The sequence below is a fragment of the Homo sapiens genome, chromosome 12, assembly GCF_000001405.40.
Source record: "Homo sapiens chromosome 12, GRCh38.p14 Primary Assembly".
In the NCBI taxonomy this organism is placed as follows: Eukaryota; Metazoa; Chordata; class Mammalia; order Primates; family Hominidae; genus Homo; species Homo sapiens.
In genome coordinates, this window is record NC_000012.12 from 113457941 (window position 1) to 113471912 (window position 13972).

Consider the following 13972-nt stretch of genomic DNA (forward strand, 5'->3'; position numbering starts at 1 on the left):
TTCATTCATTCATGTAGTTACTAGAATCTGCACTGGGCTCTGTCCTGGGTCCAGGGACAATGTGGGCTCTTGCAGCAAAAGTTCTCAATTCAAAACCTAGCTTTGCCACTCCCTGGCTGTGTGACTTTGGTCAGCTCACTTCATCTCTTGGGGCTCATTCTCTCCACCTGCAAAGTGGGAAGAACAATGCTTATCTCGAAGGGACGTTGTGAGGATTGGATAGGACTCTGACCAATGGGTTTGGAGACAGGTGGCATCATGTTGAGCAGTGGTCTTGCATGTTTGGGAGGTGCCAGAATCTCTTGGGGAGCTAAATGTGAAGCATCTTGGGCCCCACTCCAGAGGACAATTCAAGCCATAAGTGGTGGGACCTGGGGCTGCAATTTGCAGCAAGCATTGTCCTCCGATCATACTTTGAGAAAATGGTTGTGGATGCTGAAAGACAAACGTCTCTTCCCAACTGCTCCCCTTCCCCACCCAGCCTTTCTCAGGAACTGCCTCCTTAACAATGTGCACCCAGTATTATGGCTGTACACCTGCAGGGGCACTGTGCTAGTGTTGGGGTGGGAGAATGTCTCCTCCCAGAGCCCCTGGGCCCAGTAAGCACTTGGGGAGTTAAAATGAGCTCACGGGAGTGGGAGTGAATTTGGTGTGAATCAGGTCCTCTCTCTCCTCTTGTTACCCTCCATGGAAGCTGGTGTGTGTGTGTGTGAGAGAGACAGAGAGAGAGACATGGACATGGGGATGTAACCCAGGCCCTAGATTTCCTGAACCTTGGCGACAGGCTGAGTCACTTCTCTTCCATCCTCACCCTGTGGAGGAAATGATGTTGAGAGTCCATTTCACAGGTGAGCACACTGAGACCCAGAAAGGGGACATAGTGACCAGAAAGGGGACATAGTGAGCAACCTCCAGTTCCTCAGCCAGGTAGTGTCCTGGATCCCAGAGCTCCTGCTCTGTTCTGCCTCCATCCCATTCTCAGGTGACCTAGGCTGCCAACCCGCTTCACTTGTGAATACTCAGAGGAAGGAATGATGGGGAGTGTGTCCACAAGTACTGATCATGCAGAAATCATGGCATCCCTCTTGGAACCTGGCTTCTGGAGCCACCCTCAGAGATCTTGATGGGGCCACCCCAGGGTTATTTAAGTCCCTGACATAAAAGGGGACCTCTTCCTCTCCCAGTTCTCCCAGACTGAAGCTGTGAGTATTTAAGGGGCAGGTATATATCCTGTGTACATGTGTGTTAGCATGTGTGCAAGGACATGGTGTGTGGGTTTTTGTGTGTCCACAGGGGTTAGACATATTGTAGGTGTGTGCATTTGTGTACACAAGCCTGTGGGTGTCTGTTAATGTACATTTGTGTGCATATGTATGTAGATGTGTGCGCCTACCATTGTGCCCTTGTCTGTATTTGTATGTGTCTCTGTGTGCATGCACAGCTGTGTGTCCATGTGGCTGCTTTGTGTGTGTGTGTGTGTGTGTAAATCCATATGCCTGTGAACATGCATCAGTATATGCTTGTGTTTTTGTTCGTGTACATGTATTTGCATGTGTAAGTGTTCATTGTGTGGGCCCATATGTAACTGTCTGGTGCGTGTGTGTGTGCATGTGTGTGCCTGTACCTGGAGAAAGGGGCAGAGGGCTTGGTTCTACTGCGGTTTCTCATTCTGTAGCCTCACTCTGCTGCCTTCACTGAAGGACACCTCTGGGTCTAAGCGTCCTATCTGGGTAGGGGCTGGGGGCGGTCCCTGGACACCATGGAGCATGAGCAGTAGGTGACTTGGCACACCTATGGGGGCTCTTCCTGCCACAGATTTAATCTTCTCTTTCTCTCCTCCTAACCTTTCTCCCTTCTCTTCCTCTTCCTCTCTTCCTTATTCTTTCCTTTTCTCCTGCCTCCCTCCCCTCCTCTTCCTCTCTTTCACCCCTCCTCCCCTCCCCTCTCTCCCCAACCTGTATCTCCCTGTCACAACCCTGTTTGAGGAAGGGGTGAGTCCTCTCCTCCCCCTAGCTTCGCTTCCCCCATATTGCTCTGGTGCAAGTTCTAAGTGAGCCCTTCTGTAAAGTTCACACATGCCCAGAAAGCATTCAGGGACCCGCCAGAGATGAGGTCCACCTTGCAAATTCTCTCTTGGCCTCTAAAATCCGTTACAGTTAGGGCACCATAGAGAAGTAGAAACACAACCCAATACATGGGTTTGAATCTCAGCTTTGCCACTTCCCAGCTGTGTGACTTTGGGCCAGTCCCTCAACCTCTCTGAGTACCCTGAGGGGGCCAATAATACCTACCCTGATACACGTCCAAGGATTCAGCTGCAAGGATATTCTGATGTGGTTTAAAGTGGTGAAACGTTGGAAACAAACCCAAATATCCAATAATAGACTTGGTTAAAAATAAAACAAAAACCATAAAAGGATGGCTCAGCCATTGAAGAGAACTTTAAGCAGTGACTACACAGAATGACATAGCTCTGTCTATGAAGATCAGTTTATACATCTGGAAGCTATTGCTGAGTGAACCAGAGCAGATGACCACATATTGAGTATAGGGTATGATCTCTAGTTTCAAAATGAAAAAACAAAACAAAACAAAACAAACAAACAAAAAAACAAACAAAAAAACAAGAAAAGAAAAAAGAAGTCTGAAAGAAAATGCATCATCTAGATTTCCATAGTGCTTGAGATTCTGGGTGGTGACATTTTCTTCCTTTTGTTTATCTGAGATTTCTAAATTTTCCACAAGCAAGTAGCATTGGTCTGATAAAGATGAATGTGCAGTAAGGAAAGAAAAGAAAAAGGCAAGGCACATTGCATGATTCTTGTGAGGAACACATAAAGAAGAAGGGCAGAAGAGTGGGGCTCTGAGCGTGCGCCTGTCCCATGGCGGTCTGTTCCCCACCTTCCCCTGCTGCAGCTACAATGGGCCGCTTCACTCACCCCGAGCTTGGGTGAAAAGTGATCCCAATGCAGGACACTCTTCTATTTATTTTTACCTCCCTCTCCTGCTTTTCTTTTCTTTTTCTTTTATCCTTTCTTCCTTCCTTCCTTCCTTCCTTTCTTTTTCTTTTTTCCCTTCTTTCTTTTTCTCTTTCTTTCTCTTTCTTTCTTTCTTTCTTTCTTTCTTTCTTTCTTTCTTTCTTTCTTTCTTTCTTTCCTTTCTTTCTCTCTTTTTTTGAGACAGTCTTGCTCTGTCGTCCAGGCTGGAGTGCAGTAATGTAGTACCAGCTTACTGCAACCTCCGCTTCCCGGGTTCAGGCGATTCTCCTGCCTCAGCCTCCCAAGTATCTGGGATTACAGGTGCCTGCCACCATGCCTGGCTAATTTTTGTATTTTTAGTAGAGAGAGGGTTTCACCATGTTGGCCAGGCTGGTCTTGAACTCCTGATCTCAGGTGATCCACCCACCTCAGCTTCCCAAAGTGCTGGGATTACAGACATTCGAGTTGGAAGGGAATGTAGGAAGCACTCTCTCCAACCCCTGCTTTTGCAAGTAGGGAAACTGAGTCAAAGAAGGAGAGTGACTTGTTTTAGGTAGTGGCCTCAGGCCTCCTAAATCTCACTGGACACTCTTTCCCTCATGCCTTTACCTAAAGACAAGCATGCACTGCATAAGATTTGCAGAGCACAACAGCCTCACTTTGGGGAGGAGGCGCACTTCAGTCCTAACATAGCCTTGCAGATAACCAGCATCAGCTTACCAGCCTGCTCTTTTTTTGGGCCACCAGAAATTACATGGGGGAATAGTTAGGAGTGAAGTTCTAATTCTTTTGATGTGCTGGCAACAAACAAATCACACATTCATTCATTCATCAAACATTCTGAAGACCTACTATATGCTGGGCAGGCCTGTGTTAGAGCAGGGTATTACATAAAGCATGGGGAGATACGGTGCCTGGCACGTAGTAGCTGTCGAAAGAGGACAGTCACTTTCATGAACCTGGGAGTCACTAGAAGAGCTCCCCCTTTGGGTGAGCAGAGGTTTTTGCACCCATCAAGGGTTTAATGTCAGAGACCAGAACCAGGGAAAGGAATGGTTTCATTCTCTCTGAGTCGTTATCAAGGTAGGGACAAAAAAAGAAAACCACACAGCGCTGAGGGAAAAAAGATTTTTTTTTATTAATCTTTCTCTTTAAAAAAAGTTGATTTTTTTTGTTTTTGTTTTTTGTTTTTTTTAGGTAAACCTCTTTCTGCTTCCCCTCCGTCACTCTGCCCTACCTCCTCTTAAAAATATAAAAATGTCCAACCCCGGATAACTAGAGTACAATAAATAAACAGTAAACACAAAAACATACTTTATTTGTTTCTTCTTTATACAAAATAAGGAAACTAGAAGCGTTCAACTTCCAAAAAAGTATAATATTGTACATCCTGACGGCCCAGCCTCCAGGCCCTGGGCAGGGAGGGTGGTCTGTGGGTCTGAGCCCAGCAATCCTGGCGCCCCACCCAGGGGGAGAGCAGGATGTGTGCGTGTTCGAGTCCGGCCTGCTCCCTCGGGCTCAACATAAACGTCAAAGTAAGGAAGAGCGGGAGCTGGACCCGGCTGGCCACTTCCTGACCCACAGCCCTATTCCTAGAGAAGCTGACCTTGAGCCTCAAGATTGGCCACCAGGGAGCGCCAGCGTGCAGGTGGCTCGGTCTCCCTCTCGGTGGCTCCCGGTTCACGCGAGTTCCTCGCTCGCTCTCCGTCTTCTCCCTCTGGCTGACGCTGTCTCTCCATCTCCTCCTCATCTTGCCCCCTTTCCTCTCCCTCTCTTTCAATCTCTCTCCTTTTCTTATCATCTTTTTTTTTAAAGACGGGGAAAGCACAGCGAGAAATAAGATTACAAAATGCCACTCGGATTGCAGAGAGAGGGAAAAACACCGTCTCCGCCCCTTGGCCTCACCCTCTCTCAGTCCAAAGAGGTGGCGGTGGCTGGGTGGGTGGGTGGGGGCCCGGGGAAAGTCTAGAGCGTGCTCGAAATCTCTTGACCCTCCGGAGTATTGACTTTGGTCCCAAGAAATTGCTCGCGGTTGCTGGGAGAGTACTGGCGGTGGGCTGAGGCTCCTGGAGAGCCCGCGGGGTGGAGATGGGGGTCGGCCCCCCCTCGGCGCCCAGCCGAGGAGCAGCTGCCAGTTGAGTGCGGACCCGAGAGAGAACCCCCGAGGGACACCCACGTCTCCCACCGCGTCTGCGTCGGGCGTTTTGGTTTCAGGAGGCTGCTTCGGGGCGGGGCCCCCGGGGGCCGAGCGCGGGGGGCGGCCCGGCGGCCTTACCACACGGCGGCTTCGTTGAGCTCGGGGTTGGGATGCGACAGGGGTCCGCTGTAGCCGCTGGTGCCGCTCATTGGGAAGGGCGGGCTGGGCCCGCCGCTGAATACCTCGCCGGGCATGGGGTGCAGCGTGCCCGGCAGGCCTGGCTCGGGGCTCGGTGTGTCCGGGTGCGAGATCATGTCGGTGAACCTGGGGTTGTCCGCGGCGTGCGGGCCGGCGAGCGGCGGTTCCAGCGCTCCCAGCGGCGTCGAGCCGGGGCCAGAGGCCGCCAGGAAGCTGGAGTCGGCCGGGGACTGCGCCTGCGAAGGCGGGCCGTGCGCGAAGAAGTCGTAGTTGCTTCCCGGCGCGTAGTAGTCGCCTTGGTAGTCTGCGGAGGGGGAGCGGGAAGGAGACAGGGCGCGGTGAGAGAAGGCGAAGTAGGCGGGGGACCCGGGACCCGGGGAGGGGACCCGGGCGGGCGAGAGAGGGGAGCGCGCGACACCGACCCAAGGTTAGAGAGACCTGCGGAGGCCGGCGCCCCTTGAGACGGTGGACGTCGCAGGCTCACGGGGAGGGTTGGGGAGAGAGACAATGAGAGATCTCGAAAGGGCAAGAGACTCAGACTGCCAGAGACCACACACAGAGACGGGAGAGACTCCGAGACCGTGGGGGACACACGCGGCAAAAACTCGGAGACTTCAGTCACAGGTTCCCTGACACCTAGAGATGGAGAGAGACAGAGGCGGCCAGAGACGCAGAGACAGACAATGATTCCTAAGTGTCTTAGGGTCGGTGAGAGACACAGAGATGCGGGACAGCGAGAGACAGACGGAGAGATCGGCAGAGGGGCAGAGAGAAAGGCGGAAAAGAGACCCAGAGACGCGGAGTCCGCGGCTGAGACCCGAAAGCCCGAGACATCGGAGGGTCGCGGAGGAGTCGAGGAGACGCAGAGAGAGGAAAGACGGCCGCGGTTAGAGACACGCGTGGAAACCCCCGGGGGCGGCAGCGAGGGAGTCAGGAGTGAGCCCGAAGATGGAGAGAAGTCGATGCGCCCAGAGAACGCAAGACGGTGGATCAGAGATGAGTCCCAGGAACCTCCAGAGAAGCGGAGGCTGACAGGCCCGGGGAGAGGAACCGGGCAGGGACAAACCAGCGGACAGAGCAGAGCGCGAAATGGTTGAGACCGGGAAGCGACCTGGCCGGGGGAAACTGGATCCGGGCCGCGGCAGGAGCGACTGGTGGGTTGGGCCGGGCGGGGCGGCCTTGGCGCCCTAAACTCGGTCCCTGCGCCCTACCAACCCAGTCCAAGTCCTTCGCCTCGCCAAGTACGGCCGCCGCGTCGATCCCGGTGAGACCATTTGTACCGGCCTAGCCTAGCCTGAGAAAGAGAAAACTGAGCTCCAGCGACTTGGGAGAGGGGGAGGAGGACACGAAGATTCTCTGGGTCATGGCCAGAGCTCCGCGGGCTCCTTGGGGTAGAAGCTCGGTCCTCCAGCCTTGCCCCGGGTTGGTTTTGCCAGCACCCCCAGGTTCTGAAGCATCTGAGGACATTGAGATCTTTTGAGAAGCTGGTGATAGCTATGGGCTCTCTCTCAAGGAAAATGCAAGGATGAGAATTTTGCCCATAAATTCAGGAGGTGTAGGGACTCCGGATTGCAAACCCATTCTGCCTCAACAAATCTGTATCAACTCTCTGACCGCCCCACATAGCCCCTTTTCCAGAACCTTCGGGATATCCTGCCTTCCCCCACCAGGTGGGGCCCTGAAGGACTGACGTGGGGGACGTCACGAAAGGACCACCTTGTACCAGGCACCCGCTTTGTACGGCGGGAAAACCAGCGAGTCCAGAAGCCTGAGTCTCTTCTGCAAATCCACTCCCCCTGCTGAGTCCTGGGATCTCAGTCAAGGGGCGAATTCCTGATGCCCCCTGCCACCCTCTTCCCTCTCCAAACCCTGAAATCTGTCCAAATGGGGGGTGTCTGGAGGCGTGGCTTGGAGGCAGTTTAAGCAACAGCTAAAACGGTTGCCAATTACTTTTTAAAACCATTAATTTAATTCTCCCCGAAAGTGAAGGGGAAGATGGGGAGCGGCAAATTTGGAGCCCCAAAGGGACAGGGATGGGAGACGGCCGCGGCCCGCGGCGAGCCGGAAAACCAGCGAAGGCCGCTGCCCCCGCGCCGTGCGCGCCGCCTCCGCCCATATGGCGGCCGGGCCGGAGGTAATTGGAACAAACGCCGTCTGAAAAGGGCACAAAAGCCGCAGCTGGGGCTTTGTCCGCGCTCCCACGGGGAGCCGCCGGCCCCGCCGCCCGGCCCCTTTCTCGCCCGCTGCCGGTCGCCACCGCCGGGATCTCCCAGCGCGGATTAGGCGGGGCTGCCTCGCTGGGGGCTGGGGAGTCTTCCCCACCATTACGGGGAACGAGGGGCCCCCAGTATCCAGCTCCCCACCTCATCCAGCGCGCAGGGAGAGGAGGCGGTGGGATAGGTCGGGGCGGGGGCGAAGTGGTCCTCGGGGAAACCTTGGTTAATTATCCAGGCGGGGAAAAATTCCGGGCCGGTACCGCCCCCACTACCTCGCTGCTCCGGGCCCAGATTTTGTAGGGAAAGAGGCAAATTTAGGTGGAGAGAGTCGGTGAGTGGAGACTCCGGAAGACACGCCCACCATCCGGGCTCTCCAGGGTTGGGGGTCTGTCCGGGGTTGGGGGTCTGTCCAGGGTTGGGGGGCTGTCCAGGGTTGGGCGGCTGGGGCGCTCCAGCCTGAGCCCTGCCACTGCCTGGGGTCTCTGCCCTGAAAAGCACAGCCTGGCATTTTGCCCACAATTTCTAGGGGCCCCGGTCCGGTCTCAAGGTCTAATCCCCCCTCAGGCTTCCGGATGTGCTGAGGTTAGTGATGGGGTTATCTTCCCTTCCCTTCTGCGTCTACCTGGGTGCCTAGCTCCTGCCTTGCTAACACTGCCACTGAACCCACTTTCTAAGAGAAATTGCCTCTTCCTAACCTGCGTTACAACTCAGAAGTGCAGATGCCTCTCAGACATAGACAGTCCTGGGGTCTCTCCAAATTCAGAAGCTTCAGAATAGAAGAGGAGAGGTGCTTTCTTGAGCCCTCAGCCCTGGGAAGAACAGGACAGTGAGCTTGGTGAGCTCAAGCAATGCGGCTCAGGGTAAGGAGCTGAAAAAATCGGATAGGGGGAGTTGGGATGGCTCACCAATCCAGTGTGAGGGAAGTGAGAGGAGGAAAAGCTGAGGTGGCAAGGGGACAGCTCACCCCAGGCCCAAGCCTGGTACCACCATCTGAAGCCCTTTGTAAACTGGGGCTCCTCGCTCTCTGCAGCCCCAAAGACGGTGGAAATCTGGGGTTGGCCCAACACTTGTGCCCCCAGTCTGTAGGAACCCCAGGGGTCTCGGGGCTGGAGGGTGGACTACAGTCCTGCCCAGAGCAACTGCCGGCATTTGGGCTAACACTGCCAGATGCTGTGCGCACACACCCCGCCACATGGAACAGGAGTTGCTGCCTTCGATGCTAGTGAGCAGGCGGCTTGGAATGAATCCAGACCCCCATCCCCTCCCCTCACACTACCCTCCAGCGCTCGGAATCCACCTCATGCCAAGTACACCAGGCACAGGGCGGCAGGAAGGCTGTGCGTCTGTCCGTGGGGGCCGCATGCATGTGGATTTGCCAGTACTGGCCTCAGTGTGACTGGTGGGAGTGTGCGCGTCTGTGGAGTTGTGTCTCCGTGAGTGTACCTGTGTGTGAGAGGGTGGAATTTACCTATACGTGATCGTGCGATCGTGTCTAGACGTGTGTCCCTGGAGTCTCTGAACGCAAGTGTGAGTGCACCTTGTGCCCTGCGTGGGTGAATGTGTCACTGTATCTCGTGTGTGCTTCTGTGTGCATCACTGTATGGGTGAGACCATGTATCTGATTTTGTGTCCAGGACATGTGGGTGAGTGTACATGTGTCTGTGATCGTGTGTCCAGCGAGTGGGCGATGTTCTGGAGCGGCGGAAAGCGTGCTGGCCGGGACCCTTCGCCCTCAGCTCCCGGAATAGGACAGGTGCGGAACAGCGAATCCCGGGGCGCCCCTTACCTCCGTAGTAGGTGTACGGGGTGGACCCCAACATCTCAGACTCGTCCAAGCGGCCGCCCAGCGGACGCATGCGCCGCGGACTCCGGAAGAAGGCGTGCCTCCGGGCGCCTAGGGCGCTCAGCTGTTTCATCCGGCGTTCTTTGGACCGTCGGTTCTGAAACCACACCTGGGACAGAGGAGGGGGCTGTGAACCCAGGATCAGGAGTGTCCTCTCCCCCCCTCTTCTCCCTTCCCTGACTGGGCTGCCCCTGCTGGGTCCTTGCGCCTCTTCCGCACCAGGACTCCCCCGAGGCGGGGCCGGGCCGGATTAGGCCGGGAGGGGTGGAGAGAGGCTTCGGCGAACCAGCCAAGGGTGAAGGATTTCGCGGACCCGTGGGGCGACTCATAAAGACTTGGGCTTCCTGGTCCCCGGCTCGCCCGCGGCCTGACGGCTCTATAAAGGCCTCCCTCCCGGCACGGCTCTCGCCTCGGCCCCTCGGCTCCGGAGCCAGCCTCTGGCCGTTTGTCTGCCCGCGCTTCGGCGCAGGGAGGGAGGGGGCATCGCCTGTTTCTCTGCTCGAAAGGTGGAGGTAAAGAGGGATCCCGGACCCCAGAGAGGCTTACAACCTTCCATAAGCAAGGCGGGGGGCGGAATTCAGAGAGGTAAAGTGACCCGCCCCCAAATCGCAATACCAGGAGGACAGCAGGGCTAGATGGAATCTTTCGGTTCACAGTCCCCGACCTCGGGCAAGTGCCCCACTCGGGCGCACGGTCTGCTCCCAGACCAGAACCAGGCGCGCTCGTAGCCAAGGAAGCTTGGCGGGAGACTCCTCCGAGGCTCCCGGCTCCCAGGCCAGCGGGGCTAAGGAGCTGTGCCCGCCCCGGGCCGCACCTGGATGACGCGCATGTTGAGGCCGGTCTCCTGCGCCAGCTGCTCGCGGATGTGGCGCGTGGGCTTGGGCGTGGCGGCGAAGGCAGCCTTGAGCGTCTCCAGCTGCTTGGCCTTGATGGTGGTGCGGGGGCCGCGCCGCTTGGTGCCCGAGTTCTGCTCCTCGTTCTCGTTGTTGGCCGTCTCCTTGTCCGACGAGGTCGAGTTGTCCGTCTCTTTGGGGTCGTCCTGCAGTGCGTCCTGGAGGTCCGGGGACAAACTGCGGTCCGTACAGGATGACACTGCGGGCGGACGGATCGGGAAGGGGACAGCGGCGTCAGCGACGGCCAGACGCCTCTTCAGTCCAGTGGCGGGTTCCCGCCGGCCCAAGCTACGGCCTGCCCAGGCTACGGCCAGCCCCGCTGGATTCCCTCCCAAACCTGCGACAGCCCCTCCCCCAGGGACCCGGTGCCCGCCCACTCTCTCCAGGCGGGGCTGGGCCTTTGGAGGGGCGCTCTTAAGCCCTCTCCGCGCGTCTCAGCTAGTACCTGGGTAAGGGTAGGGGGACGCGTACCCTCTGGAGAACTCCCACTTTCAAGGAGAGGGGACAAGGAGGGCACAGATTCCCTTGGGGCTTGGATCTTCCTCTCTCTTCCCTCCTCTCTCCAGACCTCAATTAATGTCCTTCCAGTGCATCAAGAAATTACCTGGAGCTCAAGTGACACATAAGGGGGAATTGTGCGCTTCCAAATTAGGGGAGGAGGGCAACTTGGAAAAGGCTCCTGAATTGGAGGAGGGTGAGGCAGAGCTGGCAGGTCTCAGATCCCCTGTAAAACCTGCTCCAAAGCCACTTCTCTTCTCTAGCCTCTAACCCCCTTGCCTTGCCCTAGAACTGCCTGGGGCTGATGAGCTCCAAGCTCAGCACAGACAGCACACCGGGGGCCAAGTAGGGAGTGCCAGGCTGGGCACGGTGGGAGGGTGCTAAGGCCTAAGGCTAGTGAGGGGCCCAGGCTTCCTACCTGAGTTGAGGCTGCCCTCCTTGAGGCTGGATGAGCTCAGGTAGTCGTCTTTGCACACGAACTTGTTCTCGTCGATGACGTAGAGCTCCTCGCCGGTGGACAGCTGCTTGTTACACACCATGCAGGTGAAACAGTTGAGGTGAAAGACTTTGCTCCGGGCCTTGCGCACCAGGTCGCTGGGCGAGATGCCTTGCGCGCAGCCGGCGCATTTCGTGCCAAAGCGCCTGTGGACACAATGTGCCTGTCACTATGGGGTGGGACTGCATCCAGCCCTCCCCAGCCCCTGACCTCTTCCCACCCGACCTGGCTTCGGTGAAGTCCCCATTTCCATATCTGTCAAACGGAACCCCAATCCTGAGCGCTCTGGCCAGAGTGGGAGAAGTGGGACAAATGTCCTGAGCTGCTTTTGGGACTGGGACTGCCATGCCTCCACTGGGGCTTTTCAGACTCTCCTGAGCTGGGAAGGGGTGAGCAGTGGGTGCAGCCTTCAGCCAAGAAGAGAGCCCAGAGCACCCCAAGATGTCCTCCCCCAAACCCAACCCCTGCCAGGCCTGCCTGGGCTGCTCCAGGCAAACTCAGAGTCCATGAATGATTTGAAGCCAGGCGGGGAGGGTTTGGGCCACTTGGTGGCTCTGCCTCCTGGATCCTTTCTAGTCTGCTGCTGCCTAGCTAGGGCCAATCTGCCTGGCTGGCTGAGCCTAGCCATGAGGTGGGGAGCCCTTCTCCTAGGCTGGAAGGAGGAAGCAGAAAGGAGGGAACCTTCCACTGATTTCCAGTACCAATGGAGAGGCTTTCCAATCCACCGCTCTGGGACCCGCTGGAGCTAATCAGGAGCTGTGGACAGCAGGGCCTCATAGTGATGGACCCTAGAGAGCAGGGATGAGTTTCAGCCCCCCTAAACCTCTGGCCTGGCAGGCAGCAGGGGAATGTGAATAGAGGACAATCATAGATCCTGCAAGGCCAGGACAGGAATCTCTCAAATCCCCGCTTTCCCGCGTTCCTGATCTCATTCCTTTTCTTTCTTCTTTGAGCTCAGGGAGAAAGCCAGCCTCCCCCGAAATAGGAGATGGGTGAGGCTCAGGTTGGGGGTGGGGTGGGGGAGGACCCAGGACTCTAGGGACCCCACATCTACTCACACCCATGTCTCTAAACAGGGCGAATTTGGGTGACATTGATGTAGTGAGGGCATTAGAAGCCATAAGTCACTTTTGGCCTTATCCGGCAGCGTAATTGGCCATATGCACCTTATCAAAAATCATTAGGCACTTTGCAAGCACTGCTACATTAGGGGCATCGGGCCTCCGGGTCCAGGGAGTTAACACGTGTAAAGGAGCGGCTGACATTTTCTCCCATTCAAATTCTCAGTGCGGAGTCGCTGGGGCCGGCAGGCTGCCTTTCTCTGTGGCGTGATTCACGCCCCCATTCCTCAGCGCGGGGAATTCCTGTTCACAAAGCCGGCTCTGGGTGCCCAGAGGAAACAGGTAGGGCTCAGCTGCCCCAAACTCCAGTGGCTTCCAGGCTGGGGAAACTGAGGCCCAGAGAGGTGATCTGCCCTGGCCAGCCACAGGGCCCACAGGGGTAGGGGGGCTGGGGAGGTGCCACAGCCCAGTCTAGACCCCAGAGGTCCTGATTCTCAGCCTCGATTTCGTTTCTACTTTTCAACATGGGAGGAAATGTTTAAGGGGTTGGGAGGTGGGTGGGGGAGGTTCTCTCCTCCCATCACCAGGGGAGACCTTCCTCGCTGGGCCCCCTCTGGAGCTGAGAAGTTTCTGTTTGGGATTGCGGCCGATGGGCTCACACATTCTGCCTGGAGCGAGAAGCCTTCAGGCGTCTCTAACTCATGCAAAAATCCTTCCTCTCTCTCGGGACGGGGCTTGAAGCTTCTGTCTTGGGGTTGCAGCTGCTTGGAAGGGGCGGAGAGGAGTGGATAGCAAGTTTGTCAGGGCTTCCTCCCTCTGCCCCGCCAGCGCTCTGAGCCGGCCTCGAGCCAACGTGAGGCAGCGAAGCAGCGTCCTTCTTCCTCCGCCTGGGCTCGGGACCTTTCCTGGACCAAGGACAGGAGGAGAGCAAAGTGCTGCCCGCTCCCCATCTAAGCTTGTGATCCGGGGAGGCTGGGATGGGGATGGGGGTATCCCCTTCCCCAGCGCCCCAGTGGAGCGCGCGCAGGGTGGGCGCGCAGGCAGCAGAGCGGCGCGGCCTCTTACCTGAAAAAGTCATTTTTGCAGTAGAGCTTGCCCTCGCGCGAGAAGCACTTCTCCGAGAGGTTGGTTTTGCACTCGCAGCACTGAACACATTTGATGTGCCACGCGCGGTCCAGCACGTTCAGCAGAAAGCGGTCGAGGATGGGCCGCTCGCAACCGGCGCAGTGCACCATCATAGCCCCGCGCCCCGGCGGCTTCGGCCGCCTTGCCCTCCCTTTGGGCCCCTGGCCCTCGGGCCTGCCGGGCCCTCCGCTGCCCTTCGCCTCTTGTCTCAGCAGCTGCAGGGCGAGTCTGGTCCGGACCAAGACTCAGCCGGTCCAGTCCTTGGGCAATCTCTGGCCTGGCGCTGGGCTGCCCGGAGTGGGGTGGTGGGGGGCGGGTGGCGTTCACAACCTCATGCCACGGGCCGCACGCCCCGGCGCCTGTTCCGGGCTTCCCCAGGTATCTCGGGTGGCTGCTGGCCTCGGCGCTGCGGAGCGGCTTTCCCCGGTGGCGGAGGCGCCGGCACTTTCCCCCACTTTCAAGCGGTCCGGATCCTCATCTTTGTCTGGTCGCCGCGTAATTCGCGCATCCTTATTCAGATTTGGTGA

General features: G+C 57.1%; 1 protein-coding gene across 1 annotated transcript, besides 2 other annotated features; it reads right to left on the minus strand.

Annotated features, from left to right (window-relative positions):
* Positions 1-4092: 4092 nt before the first annotated feature.
* Positions 4093-13931, minus strand: LHX5 (LIM homeobox 5). Its single transcript, NM_022363.3, has 5 exons — positions 13386-13931; positions 11182-11405; positions 10187-10464; positions 9316-9481; positions 4093-5617 (listed from the first exon to the last, which is right to left on the minus strand). The coding sequence occupies exons 1-5, from the start codon at positions 13556-13558 to the stop codon at positions 5250-5252; spliced, it is 1209 nt and encodes a 402-aa protein (NP_071758.1). The 5' UTR covers positions 13559-13931; the 3' UTR covers positions 4093-5249.
* Positions 9922-10915: an enhancer, noted in NCBI's record as "H3K27ac-H3K4me1 hESC enhancer chr12:113905667-113906660 (GRCh37/hg19 assembly coordinates)". NCBI's record gives its function as "activates a minimal SCP1, AML or CMV promoter by ChIP-STARR-seq in naive H9 embryonic stem cells {active_cell/tissue: H9 hESC(naive)}" and the evidence as "EXISTENCE:reporter gene assay evidence [ECO:0000049][PMID:30033119]".
* Positions 13013-13813: an enhancer, noted in NCBI's record as "H3K27ac-H3K4me1 hESC enhancer chr12:113908758-113909558 (GRCh37/hg19 assembly coordinates)". NCBI's record gives its function as "activates a minimal SCP1, AML or CMV promoter by ChIP-STARR-seq in naive H9 embryonic stem cells {active_cell/tissue: H9 hESC(naive)}" and the evidence as "EXISTENCE:reporter gene assay evidence [ECO:0000049][PMID:30033119]".
* Positions 13932-13972: the final 41 nt, after the last annotated feature.

Coding starts and splice junctions, on each gene's coding strand:
- LHX5 (NM_022363.3), bottom strand. CDS start 13,558: ATGATGGTGCACTGCGCCGGTTGCGAGCGGCCCATCCTCGACCGCTTT. Junction 11,406..13,385: donor TGCAAAAATGACTTTTTCAG/GTAAGAGGCCGC, acceptor TTGTGTCCACAG/GCGCTTTGGCACGAAATGCG. Junction 5,618..9,315: donor CCCGTACACCTACTACGGAG/GTAAGGGGCGCC, acceptor CCCCCTCCGCAG/ACTACCAAGGCGACTACTAC.